Source organism: Homo sapiens, chromosome 9 (genome assembly GCF_000001405.40).
Source record: "Homo sapiens chromosome 9, GRCh38.p14 Primary Assembly".
Lineage (NCBI taxonomy): Eukaryota > Metazoa > Chordata > Mammalia > Primates > Hominidae > Homo > Homo sapiens.
Genome location: NC_000009.12, coordinates 1,001,057 through 1,022,047, shown reverse-complemented (window position 1 = coordinate 1,022,047; position 20,991 = coordinate 1,001,057). Strand labels below are relative to the sequence as shown.

The window sequence follows — 20,991 nt, the reverse complement described above, 5'->3', positions numbered from 1 at the left end:
GGAAGGAGCAGAAGAAATTTGGTGATTCTCAGTACACGTATTTATTTTGCTTAGAATATATGTGTAGATATTCCTTATCAAAACACTTCCTACAAAGTTAGAAAGATAAAAAAGTCACTAATGAGAATTTAGTCTATGAATAGATTTTCCCTATTAACCAAAGTGAAATAACAACAGAGAAAACTTACATAATATTTATTATGTACCAGGAACCTTTTTAGACACTTCAGGCATTCAATCCTCTCCGGAGCCTGTGAGAGCCGTACTGTTACTATCCTCATAGTTGAGGAAACTGAGGTACAGAGAGGATGCTCAGATAGTAAGTGCCTCAGCTGAAAAGTGAAAGAATTAGGATCTGGACCCAAGTTGTATGGCTCCAGGAATCTGCCTTCTTAACCACTTTGCTATGGTGCCTCTCTTGGAGTGAATAATATTTTGGTGTCAGAGACTTTAATTTCCTAGAATTAAAAACATCTCCTAGAAAGGGAAGCAAAACAGAATAGCTCTAAATGGCAGAAGGCAGTACTTCCCAATCAGGATAAGTCAAGTTTCTTCTTGTGAGAAGATCTTTGAAAGGAAATGGGCAACTCTTTGCACAGGTCATTTTTCTCCTGGAAGCAGGAGAATGGATTGAATCAATATCTGAAAGTCCCCTCCCATCCCTTGCCTGCACTGGAGTTTGTAAGAAGGTTAGTTTGCATGCTGGTTAAAGGAAACACACACCTAAGCCAACATAAGGATCTCAAGCTAGTGAATCCAAAAAAGAGGCATGAAAAGAAACGAGGGAAAAAAGCGAGAAAGGAAGAGTCTACCAAGTACCCCAGGATAAAGAAAAGAGCGCATAGGAGAGAGATGGCACCAGAGACTCTTTCCTGTGCAGTCAGAGATTAAGTGGGAAGGTGAGACAATAAAATCTCAATGCACACTCTTGCACAAGCATACAAAACTTCTCTCCGGCAATTCCTAAGGGCAGGATTCAAGGGAGGTTCATTTTGGTGCCAGGCATCACTACCAACATCCAACAAAATCACCTAACCACAGAAATCTTCGTAAACAAGCCATGCAGGAAGAAGAATCGGCCCCTTCCCAATGCAAGCAAATAAGGAGGAGGTCCTCCTGGGAGCCCCAGTTTCCCAAAAGTCTTGAGTCGCAACTACCTAATCACACTTAGCCTCCTTCACACCAACCTGAGGTGGTGCCCTCCGTTCTAAACTCCTTTTTTACAATCTTGGGATGCTTTTCGGATTCTATCTTGCACACATTTTATATATGTTTTTATTTCCTACTAGAATGTAAACTCCATAAAGGCAATGACGACTCTGCTTAAACATCTGTGTATCTGCCTCAGCATCTACCGTGCATTAGCTACTGGTACATATTTGACAAAAGAAGACAGGAGGCAGGAAGGAAATGAGTGAATAAATAAATGCATCCAAATTTTCTTAAAATACTAATGATAGTAACCAGTAATATTAAGAAGCAAACTTGGCCAGGCACAGTGGCTCATGCCCGTAATCTTGGCACTTTGGGAGGCTGAGTCAAGTGGATCGCTTGAGTCCAGGAGTTCGAGACCAACATGGCAACATGGCAAAACCCCGTTTCTGCTAAAAATACAAAAATTAGCCCGGCGTGGTGGTGCATGCCTGTGGACCCAGCTACTCAGGAGGCTGAGACAGGGGGATTGCTTGAACCTGGGAGGTTGAGGCTGCAGTGAGCCAAGATCACACCTTTGCACTCCAGGGCGACACAGTAAGACCCTGTCTAAAAAAAGCTAACTTCCCCAGCCTGCCAAGGCCTCATGCTTCATGATGTTAAAATATCATCCCTGATGGCTGATGTCTTCTAGGGGCTCCATTGCTTCAGAACCAAATGGTGACTTCTGTTCTTCATTGTTAGTCTGCCATCTCAACCCTGGCTGATAAATAACTCTTTGGATTGTCATTAGTGAGTAATATTTTCCAGGTGCCAAGTTTTGGATAAGTACATCTGTCTTCCTAGGAAGCTCAGTAGTTTTTTTAACGGGAAACTATAAAACTCCAAATGGATTGGCTTCTACTGGGTGCATCCTCCTCTACCATTCTTATCCTGGTTTGAGTAACAAGATCCAGATGAACTGTAACGTTAGTTCATTTCTCTCCAGACCCTGATTTCCTATGAGAAAGGAAAGTGAATGACATTTCAAAAGGGCCTTCTGTGATTTATGTTTTTGTATCCATGGAGGTCTTCTCAGAGCCTAGCATTTTTCTCATAACCTATGGAAGCTCCTTTTGTCTGCCTTGAAAGTATTTATTAGCTGAACAATTTTTTTAGGCAAATTGAAAAAAGAAATAGTCTAAAAGTAAAAGTTAAATAGAGAGGAGTTAGGAAAAGGAAAATAATTATTTGTGAATTTCCAGTAGTAACAAATGGTCTCATCTGAAAAAATACACATACACACACACACTCACACCCCGTAAGTGTGTGCACATCCATATGTATGTGGGTATATGGGTATGTATGAAGAGAATGGCATTTATTATTTTAGTACACCAAAATATTCCTACTTTTCCTATACTGTGTTACAGGGAACACAGATAGACTACTTTTATCTTGTGCAAAAACAAACCTTTGCCTAAAATGAATTCCAGCATGAATTGCCATCAGAACACACCCCGCCAGGCCCCTAGGATACTCACAGCACAATACTAGCTCTCTGAAGCATAGAAAGAAACTAAGTCCCTGGCCCTGCTTTAAAGAGTTTATTGTCTTCATGGAGACACTCGAGACGTGCATATAAAATCTGATCATATCGTTCCCCCATGGAAAACCCTAGAATGGTTTTCCACTGCACTTAGGATAGAAAGTTAAAACATTAAGCTGAGCCTCGGTAAGTCTTTCTGTGGCAGAAGGGAACGCATTGCTCTCTGCATATTCAGCGAGGCATGGTGGCTTCTTCAGCTCCTCAAATACACCAAGCTCTTTCAGACCCCAAACCCTTAGCACCTGCTGTTTTCTCTTCTGAGAGCCTTCTTCCTCCCCCCTTCAAGTCTGTGCTTAAATGTTACATACTCAGGAAAGACTTCCTCCAATAAATCGGGCTATTGTTACCTTGCTGGAGTGCAATGGCGCTATCTCCAGTCACTGCAACCCCCGCCTCCTGAGTTCAAGTGATTCTCCTGCCTCAGCCTCCTGAGTACCTGGGATTACAGGCGCTTGCCACCATGCCTGGCTAATTTTTTGTATTTTTAGTACAGACAGGGTTTCACCATGTTGGCCAGGCTGGTCTCGAACTCCTGACCTCATGATCCACCTGTCTCGACCTCCCAAAGTGCTGGGATTACAGGCATGAGCCACTACTCCCAGCCCTGTGGTTTATCTTTATCTTTATTTATATTTATTTCCAAATTTCCCCCCACTGAACTATAAGCTCCATGATGCCTGCACTTTTTTGTTCCTTGCTATCTCAAATCCCTAGCACGATGCCTGTCACATAGTAGGTGCACAATAATATTTGTTGACTGAATTAACAACTCAATGAATGTGGAGGTTCACCAGCCATTCAAGACAAATTCACTGAAAGGTACAGTCCAGTTACATTTTATCAACGTGTTACCCATGCTCTACCTAAATTTCTTGCTATGTTTCCTTTTGTGATCTTCCGCAACATGACAATGTAAGATAGAGGCCCCACGGCCGGGGTCACGTGCCCGATGCAGCCCTGGGCCTTCAGGTTATCAGACTTTTACCCAGAAAGTCTTCCCTCTGGTGGCTAAACACTCCCTCCTAGCGCCGGTTCTGCTGTCTGCTTTTGTAACACGGGGCGGGTGGAGTAGGAGAGTGGATGAGGTCTTTCCTAATCAGCAGAAGTTTTCATGAATCTTCCAGAGGAAAAGCCACTGTTGCTGAAACACAGGCACAAGAAAGACACTTGTGGGAACACAGCTCTCCATATTCATCAGGGTAGGAGTATTTTTGTCTTAATGCTTAAAGATAGAGACTACAAATCCCCACTTTACAGAAACAGAAGAGAAGTGACACATTCGGAGTGACAAGAAAAGTTCTAAAGAATATTAAAAACCAGGCCTCCTGGTGGATGAGCACTGGTCACGTAGGAAATCTTCAGGCATTTGGTTGCATTCGTAATGTTTCCTTTGGGGGAAAACAAGTCATTTTACTTTCATGACGATAGTGGCAAGAGTGAGCACCCATCAGAACCCTCAATGGGGGAACAGACGTGGATGCCAGGGCTTCTGTAGAAACAGCAAGCATTGGAGCAGAGCCGGCTGCTGGCTGCCAGACCGTGCGTTCCCTTCTGCCACAGAAAATCAGGGGCCTGTGGGGTGGGTCTCCTTTGCACTATAGTAGCCTGACCACTACATACCCCCCAGTTTTTCACAAAATTATATATATTCCACATTAAACTCTTACACTCCTTACTTTGCAATAAGTAGTGAAGACAGCAATGCACACCCTGACCAAGCTCTTGAGTGAAGTAATTTCTAATCTACTGCAAGTCCTGGGGAAGACTGGAGAAGAACCACTTGCACCATGAGGGCGATGTCCCAGGGATCAGCAGTCCAGGGGCGAGCACGAGGTCATGCATGATGAGGGGTCCTGGGGTCATGGAGGAGAATGTGATGGACTATTTAAAGGATGTGGGAGCATAGTACCAAGACAACTGCATATCTTTGTGCAAATGAATGAAGTTGGACCCCTTCCTTCTACCATAAACAAAAATTCACTCCAAAGGATCAGAGACCTAGATGTAAGAGCTAGAATTATAAAATTCTTAGGAGAAAACATAAGAGTAAACTTTTGTGACCTTGGGTTAGGTAAAGCCTTCTTAGATACAACAGCAAAGAAACAAGAAATGAAAAGAAAAATAAACTGAACTTCATTAAAATTAAAAACTTGTGCTACAAACAACACTATCAAGAAAATGAAAAGACAACCCACAGAATGGTCAAAAATATTTTATTATTGAGTTGTAACAAAATCCAGCCTAGATAGAACACTATATAAAGAAAACTTACAACTCAATAATAAAAAGACAAGTAACACAATTTAAAAATAGACAAAGGACCTGAGTAGACATTTCTCCAGAGAATACATACAAATGGCCAATAAACACATGGAAAGATGCTCAACATCATTAGCCATTAAATAGATGAAGATCAGTCACAATGAGATGTCACTTCATACCCATTAAGATAACTATTAAAAAAATTAAAAATAGGCCAGGCCCAGGGGCTCATGCCTATCATCCCAGCACTTTGGAAGGCTGAGGCAGGCGAATCACCTGAGGTCAGGAGTTTGAGACCAGCCTGGCCACTATAGTGAAACCATGTCTCTACTAAAAATAAAAAAATTAGCCAGGTGTGGTGGCACACACCTGTAGCCCTGGCTACTTGGGAGTCTGAGGCAAGAAAATCACTTAAACCCGGAAGGCAGAAGTCACAGTGAGCCGAGATGGCGCCACTGCACTCCAGCCTGGGTGAGAGAGCAAGACTCTGTCTCAAAAATAATTAATTGGCCTGGCGCCGTGGCTCACACCTGTAATCCTAGCACTTTGGGAGGTCAAGGTGGAAGGATCACCTGAGGTCAGGAGTTCAAGACCAGCCTGGCCAACATGGTGAAACCCTGTCTGTACGAAAAATACAAAAATTTGCCGGGTATGGTGGTGCACGCCTGTAATCCCAGCTACTCAGGAGGCTGAGGCAGGAGAATTACTCCCAGCCCGGGAGGTGCAGGTTGCAGTGAGCCAAGATCACACCGCTGCACTCCAGCCTGGGTGACAGAGTGAGACTCCGTCTCAAAAAACAAAAATAATAATAATTAATTAATTAATTTAATAAAAAATAAAAATAATTTTTTTAAAAATGAAAGGAAGCAGAGATATGTGGAGTCAAGATCCCAGAAAGAAAAGAGGCACAGAGAGGTGACCTGATATTTGGCTACTTTTCCCTTTAAGCTTTTTTCACTATATAATTGGTGACCAAGAGGCAGAGAAACTGAGCAGAGTTTTTGGAGCTGGGGAGACAAAATTGGGGTTTTGGAGGAAAGGTCCAGTGAAACACCTCAGATTTTCTGTTAAGACCCCTGAAAGCCTCTACTCTGGGATTAAAGATAATGAATAGCACTCACAAATACAGAAATCCAGCTCAATCCCAGATTGGATAAAGTAATTCACCCTCAGCTCAACTGCCTGGAAGAATCAGGTTACATGATTGTGGAAGTCAAAAACTCAGAAAAAATCAACAGATAAACTATTAGAATTAATCAGTGAATTTAGCAAGGTCACTAGATACAAGGGCGAGGTTAAAAAGTCCATTTCATTTCTATATATCAGTAAGAACTTTTTTTATTTTTTGAGAGACAGTGTCTCACTCTGTCTCCCAGGCTGGAGTGCAGTGGTACAGTCACGGCTCACTGCAGCCTCGACCTCCAGGACTCAAGCAATCCCCCCACCTCAGCCTCCTGAGTAGCTGGGACTACAGGTATGCACCGCCATGCCCCGCTAATTTTTGTATTTTTTGTAGAGACAGGGTCTCACTATGTTGCCCAGGCTGGTCTCAAACTCCTGGTCTCAAGCGATCCTCCTGCCTCAGCCTCTCAAAGTGTTGGGATTACAGGCATGAGCCACCATGCCCAGCCCCAGAAAATATTTTAAGACAAAACTTTAAAATCTGTACCATTTATAATGGCATCAAAAATCAAATATCTAGGAATAAACCCAACAAACATATGTGAGATCTCGCTACATAAATCTACACAATATTATTGAGCATAATTAGGGAGGACTTAAATAAACGGAGAGATACATTCTGAGTCAGAAGACTCAATAGTGTAAAGATATCAGTTCCTCCCAGATTGATCTATAGATCTGATTTAGTCCCAATCAAAACCCCAGCAGGTCCTTCTGTCCAAATCGAAAATATATGTGGAAATGCAAATCACCATGAAAAGTCCATAAAATCTTTAAGAACAAAATTGAAGGGCTTATATGGCAAGATACCAAAACTGATTATGAAGTTATAATAAGACAATGTGATATTGGCAGAGGGATAGACAAATTAACCAATGGAAATAATCCAAAAACAAATCTTCCTATAGTCACTTCATTTACGGCAGAAATGCAATGCAGTGGAAGAAAGAGTCTTCACAATAAGTGGTGCTGGGCCAACTGGAAATCTATACAGAGAAAAATGAATCTTGACCCCTACCTCACCCGACACACAAAAATCCATTCCAGATGAATTGCAAATCTAAATGTGAAATGTAAAGTGGAAACATGTAATACCTTCATAACCTTGGACTTGATTAAAATTCAGAATTTCTGTTATTAATACATCCAACAATAGACTTGAATTCACAATATTTAAAAACTTCTACAAATCAATAAGAAAAAGACAGATAAACCAATTTTAATGGGAAAATGTGAATCTACACTACATAAAAGAGAATATCCAAATGGCTAATAAGCATATGAAAAAGCGCTCAACATCACTAGTTTTCAGGGAAATGCACATAAAATTACACTGAGATAATCACGGAACACCCACCAAAATGGCTAAAACGTAAAAGACTGACAGTACCAACTGTTGGCAAGGATGTAGAACATCTGACACTTTCATGCACTGCTGGTAGAAGTATAAATTGCTACAAACTTTTGGATAACTGTTTGGCAGCATCTAGTTAAACTGAACATATGTATACTCTGCCTGAGCAATTCTATTTCTACGAATATACATAACAGATATATGTACATATGTTCACCAAAAGACATGTGTAAGAATGCTCATAGAAGCACTCTTTGTAGTAACCACACCCAGAAATAGCTCAAATGTCCATTATCAGTAGAATGGATACAATGTGGTATATTCACATAATAGAATACTGTACAAAAATGAAAAGAAGCAACCGCACGCAACAATACAGATGAATGGGCCGCAGACATAATGCTGAATGAAAGCAGCCAGTCATGAAAGAGGACAAACTTTATGATTCCATTGTTATAAAGTTCAAAAAAGGCAAAATGAATCTGTGGTGTCAGAAATCACCTTGAGAGTTGCCTTTGATGGAGGGGCTGGCAGTAGGAAGGAGAGGAGGCTTTGAGGTCCTGGCACTGTTTTCAGTCTTGGTCCAGGTGCTGATTGCATGCCTGTGTTCACCTTGTGAAAAAAACATTTGGCTAGCCAGTGACTTGCGCTCTTTTCTGTATGAATGCTGTACTCAACATCTATTTTTAAATAATTGATAATCTGAATTTTATTGGCTTTGTTTGTATTTACTTTGTATAAGAACTATGAGGCTATCAAGATTATAACTAGTTACGTTCATGCATATTTAAATTTTATTATAACAAAAATAACTTGAGAAGACATTAAGATGTTAGAATCATTTTTAAACTCCTTGTCTGAATTTTAGATATTGATGAGTGATACCAGATATAAAAATTAGGAAATTAAACTTTTTAAACTTCTTCCCACTTCCCTCTCCCAAACTTCTGTTTTGTCGCTGTTAGTTTTGTTATCTTGTCTTTTATAATATATTTATGTCCTATTCAGTGATCATAAACCTTGTGGTCATTTTCTTAATTCTAATTTACATTGTTCACTTTTCACCACCCACCTCTTTCTTTTACTTCAACTTTTTCATTCTTGAATTTGTCAGATGAGACCACTATTCAATATATAAGATAAAAAGACAAAACTGAAGTTACTGCTTTATAAGAGACAACTGTGCTGATCAGCAGAGCTGACTATGGATCTCATACAGGGTTTAGGGGAAGGTGGAAGTTAGAGACAGGATTTCCAGGGGTGTAAGTGGGCTGACGTCATTGATGACACTGTTGTTGATTGGTTGACACTTGGAGGCCTGTTTAATTGAACTTCCTCCTTTCAGAAGGGAGACCTGACACTGACTGGTTGGCTTTGAAAAGTGTGTTCACTCAGTTGCCGCGTTGTTGATCTATTGGCAGGTGAAAAACAGGGATATGTCCGAAGTCTCCTAATGTATAACAGTTCCATGTTCTTGCCGTTGTATCATCTCAGGTTTTTAGCTCTCTTCTCCTGTGGGTATTTTTCTCTTCTACACTAGCTTGTCCATCTATCTTTGTGTGTTCTGTCCCTCTGGTATCTTTTCTTCTCTAATATTCTATACATTTTCATGTTTTTTTTTTTTTAGACGGAGTCTTGCTCTGTTGCCCAGGCTGGAGTGCAGTGGCACAATCTCGACTCACTGCAACTGCCACCTCCCAGGTTCAAGCGATTCTCCTGACTCAGCCTCCCAAGTAGCAGGGATTACAGGCACCTGCCACCACGCCCAGCTAATTTTGGTATTTCTAGTAGAGACGGGGTTTCACCATGTTGACCAGGCTGGTCTCGAACTCCTGACCTCAGGTGATCCACCTGTCTCAGCCTCCCAAAGTGCTGGGATTACAGGCGTGAGCCACCACGCCGGCCAATGTCATTTCTTTTCATCTTTTTCATGCTTAAGGTGGGCAATGCCATCCAGATGTTCTATAATCAGTGGCACAAAATTAACACCTCATGAAACAAACTTTTATTTTCTTTGGTCTGTCTGGTTTTTTCTTTTTTTTTTTCTTTTTTTCGAAAAGGCAAATTTGTTGCCAACATTTAAAAGTTGGGAGGTGACACATAAAAATTCAGAATTTCAGCTTCTCTTGAAAAACAAAATCAAAGACGTGACAATACCGGACTTAAGTTGGCAGAGAGCAACAATCACCTGGAGTATTATTTTTTATAGCTTCATGTATTTTAATACAGGAACGGCACAGAAGACAGCCAACATTAAAAATATATACTTGCATGTAGGACAACTCAGTTAGAAAAGTCTGTGGATGGAATCTGCTGTATGATAAAAGTGCTACAAACACCAGTTAGTTGCAGTCAATAAGAAATTTGCTTGTTTTTAAAAAATGCAAATGCTGGCATCGTCCAGAAACATTTAACAGGTGTATTTGTAATTGCTATAAAGTTGAACTGCTGAAACTTGTTCAACAAAACTTTTGACTTGCATGAATGCTGTACATCTCATTTATATGAACAATTCACACTCAGATGAAAATGGAAAAACTGCCCATACCTGATTTCTGTCTCCTGTTTTTCCAGTCACAATCATATACTTAAGTACCTTTTGGCCCCACGAAAAAAAATGTCTATTGTTCACAACTACCAAAAACAGGAAGAAGAGAGTTTTTATTTTTTTGAGAACGAAACGTGTTTCTCCTCATGGTAGATTATTAAGCTGTTCTCCACGTGCTAGCTGGATGCCTTTTGGCATAATTGTTACATGTCTGGCATGGATGGCACACAGGTTGGTATCTTAAAAAAGGCCAACCAGGCCAGCTGCAGTGGCTCACGCCTGTAATCCCAGTACTTTGGGAGGCCGAGGCGGGTAGATTACTTGAGGTCAGGAGTTCAAGACTAGCCCGGCCAACATGGTGAAACCCTGTCTCTACTAAAAATACAAAAAAAAAAAATTAGCCTGGTGTGATGGCGCATGCCTGTAATCCCAGCTACTCAGGAGGCTGAGGTGGGAGAATCGCTTGAACCCAGGGGAAGCGGGGGCAGAGGTTGCAATGAGCTGGGATCGCGCCATTGCACTCCAGCCTGGGTGACAAAGTGAGACTCTATCTCAAAAAACAAAAAAAGGCCAACCAGGTAGGCCTCCCTTGCCTCCTGCAAAGCACCAACAGCTGCACTCTAGAAGCACAGATCTGTTTTGATGTCCCGTGCAATTTCTCTCACCAGGTGCTGCAAAGGAAGTTTTGAGTTGTAAGTTCAGTGGACTTCTGAGACCATCTAATTTCATGGAGTGGCACAGTGCTAGGCCAGTAACGATGAGGTTTCTTTAGCCCTCCAATATGAGGCCCACTCTTGTGAGCAGCATTTGTAACCAGCTGCTTCCTAGGTGCTTTACCCCCAGTTGATTTGTGGGCAGTCAGCATGGTAGGAGCCACAGTATAGAAACTTCCTTCCCTACCCACCTTCCTCAGCTGGAGCTCAGCAAGCTAGTGGTGGCTGCGAACACAATTTGGAGACCGTTTAACATCGGCAGTTTTCAAATGTTAGTGAGCATCAGGACTACCAGGAGGGCTTGTTAGAACACAATTTTTCAGGTTGGGTGTGGTGGCTCAAGCCTGTGACCCCAACACTTTGGGGGCGCAGAAGCAGGAGCATCACTTGAGGCCAGGAGCTCGAAACCAGCCTGGGCAACATAGCAACACCCCATCTCTATGAGAAATTGTTTTAAGAATTAGCCAGGTGTGGTAGCCTGCCCTGTAATCCCAGCTACTCGGGCAGCTGAGACAGGAGGGTCACTTGAGCCCAAGAGTTCAGGGCTTCAGTGAACTGTGATCATGCTACTGCACTCCAGCCCAGGAGACAGAGTGAGACCTCTGTCTTGGGGGAAAAAAATCACAATACTCTTAACCTTTCCCACAGGCTGCCTATTTACTCCGTAGGTTTTCTTTTCTTTACATCGGTGGATATTAGTGAGAATTCTCAGAATTTCATCACCAGCCTCCTTTTCTTGAATCACTCCAGGCAGGTAGGATGGGATTGGTAGGTACCTGTGTGGTCTACACTAGAAGCTTCGATTATTTTCTTGGCCACCATGTTTTAAAGTTTCTAACAAGAATTTGTGCCTCTTAACCTAATTTGTTTACTACTGGAGAGTTTTTGCTGAGTTTTGGCACTTTTTGTTCCTTTTGTGAGATCTTCAGGAAGGAGCTATAGGCCAACTTCCTGTACCCTCACTGTGGTAAAATCCAGCTCTGGGTAATTGAATGGTCCTGCTCTAAATGGTCAACCTCTTTCTCAATGTTTGTCCTACCACCACACCACTTCCCACCCCCAGAGATTAGAATCAGTCTGGAGCGAGGGCCAGGTATCCAGATCTTTAGAAGCCCTCTGGGTCGTTCTATTGTGATGCCAAAGTTGAGAGTCACTGCCACAGTTCGGTGCTTTTCAAATGTTAGTGAGTGCGCCAATCTCTAGGGTCTAGCTAAACTTCAGATTCTGAATCAGTATGTCTACAGCGTGGCTCCAGAGTCTGCCTTCTAGCCAGCTCTCAGTGATGGTACTGCTGCTACTCCTTAGACCACACTTGGTAGCGAGCTTTTAGAGCTAACTCAGCTAATGATCTTGCCTGGGTACGCTTAGTGCCCCGTGTCCTCAGACTCAGTGTGGCAGATGTCCTGTCTAAAGCACGGAAGGCGATGTACAGAGACTACTTTTTGGAAATTTTCTGGGACTTTTGTGGAGTGAGGTCGGGTCATCATAGAGTAAGAGCCAATCACACATTGGACCCTGAAGCTAGCCACTTCTAATTATAGCTACTGGACATTCACAAATTCTTAGGGTTCCAGGAAGGGCATGGAAAAGACAGAAACATCCCCTTAAATCCTACTTCAGAACAGGACATATGATTTTTGCCTAGGTACCTATCATTTGTCATCAGTTCTCCAAAGGATAAATGGGACCACGCAGAGAAATGGCATCACCAGCATGTCCCAGCATGTCACCCACATGCCACAGTGAGAGGCACAGGAGTGAGGCAGAGCCAGAAAGAGAGGAACAGTGAGCAATGTTCCCACCTTCTGAGGAGCTGATGGGAGCCCAGGCAGCCGACTGCACTTTAGTAAGCGTGAAAGACAAGAAGACGTCGCTGAAGCTTATTCTTGTGAACACTCAGGGTAACTCTGAGAGTGGCCACAAAACCTGGGCCCAGGGCCAGGCTGTGTTAGCGCAACAGCACCACTAGATGGCGCCATTGGCTCGAGGAGCACAGAGTGTCCGCCCGGTGCTGGTGAGGCTTGTTTCAGCCCCGCTTTAGGACACGATGCTTAGATCCGTAGAACGAAAATGATGGAAGTGAAAGATCAGGGCTGCTACAAGATGCTTTTCATCAGGCCAGAGCCTTTCTTTTTTCCATTTTAAAATATTTATTTTTTATTGATACGCAAATATTTGCACATATTTATGAGACACGCGTATCTTTGGTTACATGCATAGACTGTGTAATGATCAAGTCAGGTTATTTATCGTATCCATCACCTCGAATATCATTTATACGTATTGCAAACACTTCAAGTCCTCTCTTCTAGCTTTTTTTTTTGAAATATACAATACCTTGTTGTCAACTCTGGTCATCCTACTCTGCTGTCGAACATTAGAACTTATTTCTTCTAATTGTGTGTTTGTACCCATTAACCAACCTCTCTTTACCCCCATCTCCCACTACACACCCTTCCCAGCTTCTAGTGTCTGTCATTCTACTACTCTCTATCTCCATGAGGTCAGCGTTTCTAGCTCCCACATATGAGTGAGAACATTTGACATTTGTCTTTCTGTACTTGGTTTATTTCACTTAACATGATGACCTTCAGTTCCATCCATGTTGCTGCCACTGACATGATTTCACTCTTTTTTATGGCCAAATAGTATTACATTGTGCATATGTACCATATTTTCCTTATGTATTCATCCATTGATGGGTATTTAGGTTGATTCCATGTTTGCTATTGTGAACAATGCTGCAATAAACAAGAGGGTATATGTATCCTTTCAACATACTGATTTCCTAACCTTTGGATAAATACCCAGCAGTGGAATTGGTGAATCATATGTTAGTTCTATTTTTAGTTTCTTGAGAAATCTCCATACTGTTTTACATAATGGCTGTACCAATAATTTACATTTCCACCAAAGTATATAAGAGTTCCCTTTCCTCCGCATCAGGCCAGAAATCTTTGACATTCAGAACAACCTAGCAATGTCTAAGGGGCATCCAGCTGTCGGTGGCTGACCAGGTCACTCCTGTTCGCATGACAGAAGGATACCTGGAGGAGTCTTTGTGCCCACTGGATTAGTGAAAATAAAATCTTTTTCTACCAACTGGTGGAATCCTCTTTTGAAGTAAAAAATCTTTTCCATTTTTTGTTTTCACTTTTTCAAAGTTATTATATATTGAAGGCTTATATGAAAGGAAATGTGGTAAAGGCTTCAAGTCCACTTAATCTTCACAGTAGCCTTGTGGCCTTGTTATTATCCCCATTTTACAGGTGGGGAAATTGAGGGCTGAAGACATTAAAGCCTCTAACCCAAATGATGAAGCCAGGACTTGAACCCAGTTAGATCTGTCTCCAAAGCCTATGAACTTAACCACTGTGCTACACTACCACCCAGTCGGTATTTATTCAGAAACGCACATGTCTAGACAGTGGCCTTTCTCAGTCCAGTATTGTGTGACTTGCAGCAAAAATATCTTACAGAGATACGGTGTGGTAGGGGAAGAATGGGGATTTCAGGTGCCCATAATCGGGTATCTAACCCATTCTTTAGCAGCTAAAAGTTCCCAGAACATCTTTATTTCCCTTCTTCCTTCTTCCTAGTATCTCTTCTTAGCATGAAATGCTGTCAGCTGCTTCTACTAGCTGAAAAAACAACAGCTGCCTCCACAACCATCTAGAAAGGGCCCTGCACCTGGTGATTCAACGCCCTCTTTTTGCTACTTCCTTTCCAGGCCTGTCTCTCCCGCATCAACCTAATCTGTGAAATGGAAAGCAAGCTGGTTGCATTAATTCTTACTAAAGTGTACACAACTGAGAGTCATTGCAACATATTATCCAAATATCATCCAACTAAGTGGTGTTTGGCTTTGGGGCGAAAGGAATGTGCTGAGATTTCAGTGATGATATTTCAGCCTACATGCTTTATTACAACTCAATGCTTTTGCTGATTCGAGGAGACAGACCCTGAGGAAAAGACCAAAGGCAGGGACAAAGGGTAAGGCCTGCAAGTAGAAAGGATCGATTAGTAATTATGACATTTCACACACATCTGGGGCTAAATATTCTATGGTAATAAGGAAAGCTAAAAAAAAAAGGCTATTTCTTTCCTAGGCTAATTCCATGGCCTGAACATAATATGCTGTTCTTTGTTTCCTCAACTGGAGAAGGATAGACTACTTAAAAAACAAGAAACCTGAGGAAGCCATTGGCCACTTTAACAATGATATAAACTATTCCAAGGTGACAAAATAACTCTAGTTTTCTTTATATACAGAAAAAACTCCAACTAATATGTGGAAGCAATGGTAGAATTAGAAAATCCCCGCTGGGTGCAGTGGCTCACGCCTATAATCCCAGCACTTTGGGAGGCCAAGGCAGGTGGATCACCTGAGGTCAGGAGTTCAAGATCAGCCTGGCCAACATGGCGAAACGCCATCTCTACTAAAAATACACAAATGAGCCGGGCGTGGTGGCGCGTGCCTGTAATTCCACTCGGGAGTCTGAGGCAGGAGAATCACTTGAACCCAGGAGTCGGGAGGTTGCAGTGAGCCGAGATTGCGCCACTGCACTCCAGCCTGGGCAACAGAGGGAGACTTCCTCTCAAAAAAAAAATTAAAAAAAAAAAAAGGAAAATCCCCATTTTTCAACCCCTAATTGAAATTACTGATTCCAGCAACATAGTGAGCAAATGAAAGGTTGTAGAGAAAAGATGGAAAGTGGAGTTTGCAATGGAGGGGTTGTCTGGCTGACGTTACTGACCCCTACTGATCTTGCCTGGTGGACAAAAGACCCACTGTGTCCTTTCGGAAGTGACGCAGTAGGCAGTGGACCAGCATCTCCTGGGAAGTACATCTCCCTCAAACATTTGAACCCATATCAAAGAAGCCTCTAGATCTGCTTCCACTCTACAGGAAACATGGGGGATCCAGGAACAAATTAAGTGACTCCACGAGGAAGCAAACACACAGTTTCAGAATGGAGAGGATTCTGCTGAGCAATGGACTCCGTTTCCTCACAAAGGGGGCGTCCACTGTGCAAATGAAGAGACGTAAGAAACATAGAACCAAATACAGCGTGTGGACCCCCATCAGACAAACCCACGGTAAAGGGGGAGCGAGGCTGGAGATAACTCGGAGATTTTTATGAACTCGGTCTTATGATACCAATGAATTACTTTTAATTTTGTCAGATCTGATCATGGCATTGTAATTATATATGACTATGCCCATTTTTAGAGATGTTTACTGAAGTACATAAGGGTGAAATGACATTATTTGCTTTAAAGACTACTTACCTCATCCAAAAGGAAGAAACAGGAAATGGGATGGATGGGTCAAGTGTCGTGTAGTCTTCGTAACTGCTTAATGTTGGTGATGTGTAGATTAGGGTTCATTTCACTATTCTCTATATATGTGGGCCTTTTATTTTTTTAATAATAAAGTTTTGTTTTGTTTGTTTTTTGAGACAGGGTCTCACTGCGTCACCCAGGCCAGAGTGCAGTGGTGCAGTCACGGCTCACTGCAGCTTCAACCTCCCTGGGCTCAGGTGATCCTCCCACCTTAGCCTCCCAAGTAGCTGGGACTACAGGTTCTTGCCACCACACCTGGCTAATTTTTTGTGTGTATTGTTTTGTAGAGACGGGGTTTCTCCATGTAGTCCAGACTAGTCTGGAACTCCTAGGCACAAGCAATCCATCTGCCTCGACCTTCCTAAGTGCTCGGATTACAGGCGTGAGCCACTACACCTGGCCAAACATTTTTTAAAAATCAAAAAGACATGCTCACTTCAGTGACATCAAGTAGGACAAAAGACAATTCAATAAGTTGATGATATTTTCAGCTTTGATGGAACGCATCCACAGCCCCTGGCAGAGCTCATCATCAGGGTCAGGTCCCTGAAATCATCCATGTCAGGTCCCAAATATCCCGCTTGTAAAACTGCATTGCATTCCATTTACCCATCTCAGAAAGATAGATGGCGCCATCAGCCTGGTTAGGATTGGTTTCAGTGACCAAGCATTTCTAATGAGAACACACTGCAGAAACCAACCACTTCCTTGCATAAGACATTCAGCTACAAACCCTGGTGGTTAAGCTGCGATGGGTTCTGCCAGCTTTGAGCTTGGGTCACAGACCTGTTCAAGGGCAAGTGTTCTTCCAGCACTCCGAGAAAGAGATGGCTGTTGATGCAGATGGCATCATACGAAAAGCTCACCTCCATTCATAAGAAGAGAATGCAAATGAAAGCATACTGAGATTTTCAAGTTGTGGGAAATCACAACTGAAAACACACTCACTGGGGATGTGGGGCAACTGACATTCTTGTACTTTATTGGTGGGAGTATAAACTGGAAAAATACCTATAAGGGGACAAATTGGCAGTATCTAGTAAAATTACCAATGCATGTACGCTTTGCTGCAGGAATTCCTCTTTCATCAATTCATGCAACTTATACTTGCTCCCAATTCAAATCACATTGGTCTAAAGTTATTTATTACTAAATCGTTTAATAGTAGATGACTTCAAAACTTAACATACTTACCAGAAGGGGACTGCTAAATAAACTATGGAACAGCCAAATACTATGTAATTTTTAAAATTTTTATTTTAAATAAAATTTTAATTTAAATTTAAATTTTTAAATGAAGAAACTATCTTTATAATTATATTTAGCTATCTCCAAAACATAGTAAGTGGACAGAAAAAAAAAGGCAAGGTAAAACAACTGTGTATATAGTATACTATAAATAATGTTTAAAGAAAATGAAAAAAGAATACTTATGCTTGCATGTGCATAAAATATATCTGGAAGGGCTGCGCATAGTGGCTTATGCCTGTAATCCCAACGCTTTGGGAGGTTGAAGCAGGAGGATCACTTAAGTCCAGGAGTTCAAAACCAGCCTGGACAACATGGTAGGATCCTGTCTCTACAAAAAAATAACATAAAATATAGAACAAAAATTAGCTGGGCATGGTGGCGTGTGCCTATAGTCCCAGCTACTAGTGAAGCTAAAATTAGGAGGATCACTTGAGCCTGGGGAGGTCAAGGCTGCAGTGAGCCGTGATCATACCACTGCACTCTAGCCTGGGTGACAGAGCGCTGCCTTGTTTGTAAAAAGAAAATTAAAAATAAAATATTTCTGGAAGGATGCCCAAGACACTAAACATTGGTTGCACTCAGGTAGCTCGGAGGAGGGAGAATTTTCCCTGTAAACCTTTTTATGTCTTTTTACTTTGGAGCTCTGTAAATCCCTGACCTTTTCAAAAAATAAAAACAATTTCCTAACAACAGAAAACAAAAAACTGTCGGTTGACTTTCAAACCAAGCTTGAAAAGAAAACATCATATTTTAATTAGGGGCTAGTCTGGGACTGGGAGTTGGAAATTGTACCCACTGGAACGTGGGCCACTAAATGGCAAAAAGAAAAAAAACACAGTTAAATTTCCCTGTAGGGGCAAAATATTTCACATCCAATTAAAGCCAACTTACTATAGCTGGTCAAATTAAGGCCAGTTTCATCTTACACTCAGGCTTCACTGTCCTGATGAGCTGGTCTCTGAAATCCTGAGGAGCAGACTCTGGAGGCTGGGCATGTCAGGGCCCCTGAGCCTAATGGCCCCAGTGTCAGCCCAAGATGGGCTCTCGGATGTGACTCTCAGGGGGAAATCCAGCTCCCCACAGCAACTGTGTGACCCTGAAGCAGCGTGTTAGTGATTCTGGGCCTTCTGCTGGGAAAATGCATGTATCAAGAATGCATCACTGAAACAGCACACAGTGGACTCGAGTTCATTTTTCAAATATATCTGTTCAAGTGAAGACAGAGCCTGTTTTTAAAATCTATGAAACAGTTCCTGTTAAAAAAAAATAGTACAGGAGCAATAAAAAACGTACCTACCTTTTAGGGCTGCTGTGAAGATAAGTTGAGTCGATACACGCACACAAAATAAAAGTTAGCTGTGGCCGGCATGATGGCTCACACCTGTAATCCCAGCGCTTTGGGAGGCCGAGGTAGGCGGGTCACCTGAGGTCAGGAGTTTGAGATCAGCCTGGCCAACATGGTGAAACCCCATCTCTACTAAAAGTATAAAAATTAGCTGGGTGTGGTGTTGGGCGCTCATAATCCCAGCTCCTTGGGAGGCTGAGGCAGGAGAATTGCTTGAACCTGGGAGGCAGAGGTTGCAGTGAGCAGAGATCGAGCCATTGCACTCCAGCCTGGGTGACAAGAGCGAAACTCTGTCTAAAAAAAAAAAAAAAAAAGCTATTATCATCAGGAAGGAAACATAGGATTTGGAACTACTTAAAGCTCAACATATCTGTAGCATCTGTTCTGCTTGACAGCAGTCAGTCATCTTAAAGGTCAAGCCAGTGTATCTACAGACCACACCATGTGACCACTCTGAAGAATGACAGAATGTAGGATTTTGGAACTGAAAGGGCTCATGTCCCTGTGGTGTCACCTCTTAGTTTCATTGTATGCTTTTCTCCACAGCTTCCCAGGCATGCAGAAAACTCTACCTCCTAGCCCTTTCCTCTAAGTGAAGCCATGGCACTGGATCCAGCCAATGAAATGTGAGCAGAGGTGAGGCCCTGGAAAGCCCACCAGCACACCCTCCCCTGCCAGGAAAACCACGTGTGGAAATGGTCAAGCCACAGTAAAGAAGGAAACTAAAGCCAGAGTGGCTGTAATCCCAGCATTTTGGGAGGGCAGATCGCCCAAGGTCAGGAGTTCAAGACCAGCCTGTCCAACATGGTGAAACCCCGTCTCTACTAAAACTATAAAAAACTAGCCAGGTATGGTGGTGCATGCCTGTAATCCCAGCTACTCAGCAGGCTGAGGCAGGAGAATCATTTGAACCTGGGAAGCGGAAGTTGCTGTGAGCCGAGATCATGCCACAGCACTCCAGCCTAGGCGACAGAGTGAGATTCTGTCTCAAAAAAAAAAAGGAAACAATTCTTGTGTCACTGCCTAAAGAGCTGCCAAACCCATGGCAGATTCTGCACGGGTTAAAGTTTTAAAATAAACCTTTATGTGTTAAACCACTGAAATTTTGGAGTGTGTTAGTGAAGTGTAACCTAGGCTACCCCACCCAGCCCTTACTGGCTTTAAAGGCATTCCTATTTTCAGCAAGGTTACAGGAGCTTACAAAATGGTTTTGCTTTTAGAGGGAATTTGACCCATGTGGTGTGATGAAACCAGTTAGCTTTCAGGCAGGCCAGAACTTACAGGCTGTTTGTAACATATGTCATTTGCTTGGGTAGACAGATCTTTGAAAACATCGGGTCCATGTGCTCGCTTCAGCAGCACACATACCAAAATCGGAATGACAGAGAGAACATTAGCGTGGCCCTGAGCAAGGATGACTCACAAATTTGTGAACCATTCTATAAAACAAACAAACAAGCAAAAACTGGAACCACAGTGGCATAAGGTTGACAAAACAGAACTTTTGGTACAAAAAAGTTGGGAAACATGGATAGTTGTCCCCTTGTTTTAGGGATGAAAATAGAGACCCTGGGAGAAGCAAGGGACCTGTCCCAGGTCACATGTAAGCCTTATAAGGAGCAAGTCTCCAGGTCAGACGTCGAGGGTGAGGGGTAAAGAGCCCTCCTGCTTTAGATCAGCCTGGTCAGGCTCAACAGGCACTCAGGGATTCCAGCACCCCAAAAAAAGTTCCTCCCTGTTCTAGGGAAAATTTTAGGGAATTGAATACCCTACATGGATCTGTCCCAAATTCAGCTACAGGAAAGAAGCACAAATGAGTGAGACCAAGACAGGGAACATCTAATTTGTTTCCATACGATATTGACAGATCTTCCACCTTTTCCAGAAATGCCTAAACACTCGGTGCATACGTGAGATCTCTGGATTTTTCAATGTTGGCAATTACTTGAAAATGAAAACAAAAACTCTGTACTAATCAAACAAAATACACCTGAGGGCTGGATTAGGCCTTCAGCCCATTTTGTTACCACTTCAGCTTTCCTGTTTTCTTAACTGCAGGGACATGACCGAGGCGACAGCTATAGTCATACCACAGACACATCGCTTCCGGTAGGGTTACAAGATTTAGCTAACAAAAACATAGGATGCCCAGTTGAATTCAACTTTGGATAAACAATGGATAATTTTTTAGTATAAGTATGTATAGGCCATACATATATTGTAGAGCATAATTATGTCCAGGGAATATTA

General features: G+C 42.4%; 2 pseudogenes, besides 1 other annotated feature; one reads left to right on the top strand and one right to left on the bottom strand.

The window, feature by feature from the left end:
* Nucleotides 10,249-10,963, bottom strand: H3P29 (H3 histone pseudogene 29; annotated as a pseudogene).
* Nucleotides 12,651-12,850: a silencer, noted in NCBI's record as "silent region_19727". NCBI's record gives its function as "represses an Ori minimal core promoter by ATAC-STARR-seq in GM12878 lymphoblastoid cells {active_cell/tissue: GM12878}" and the evidence as "EXISTENCE:reporter gene assay evidence [ECO:0000049][PMID:35858748]".
* Nucleotides 20,085-20,190, top strand: RNU6-1073P (RNA, U6 small nuclear 1073, pseudogene; annotated as a pseudogene).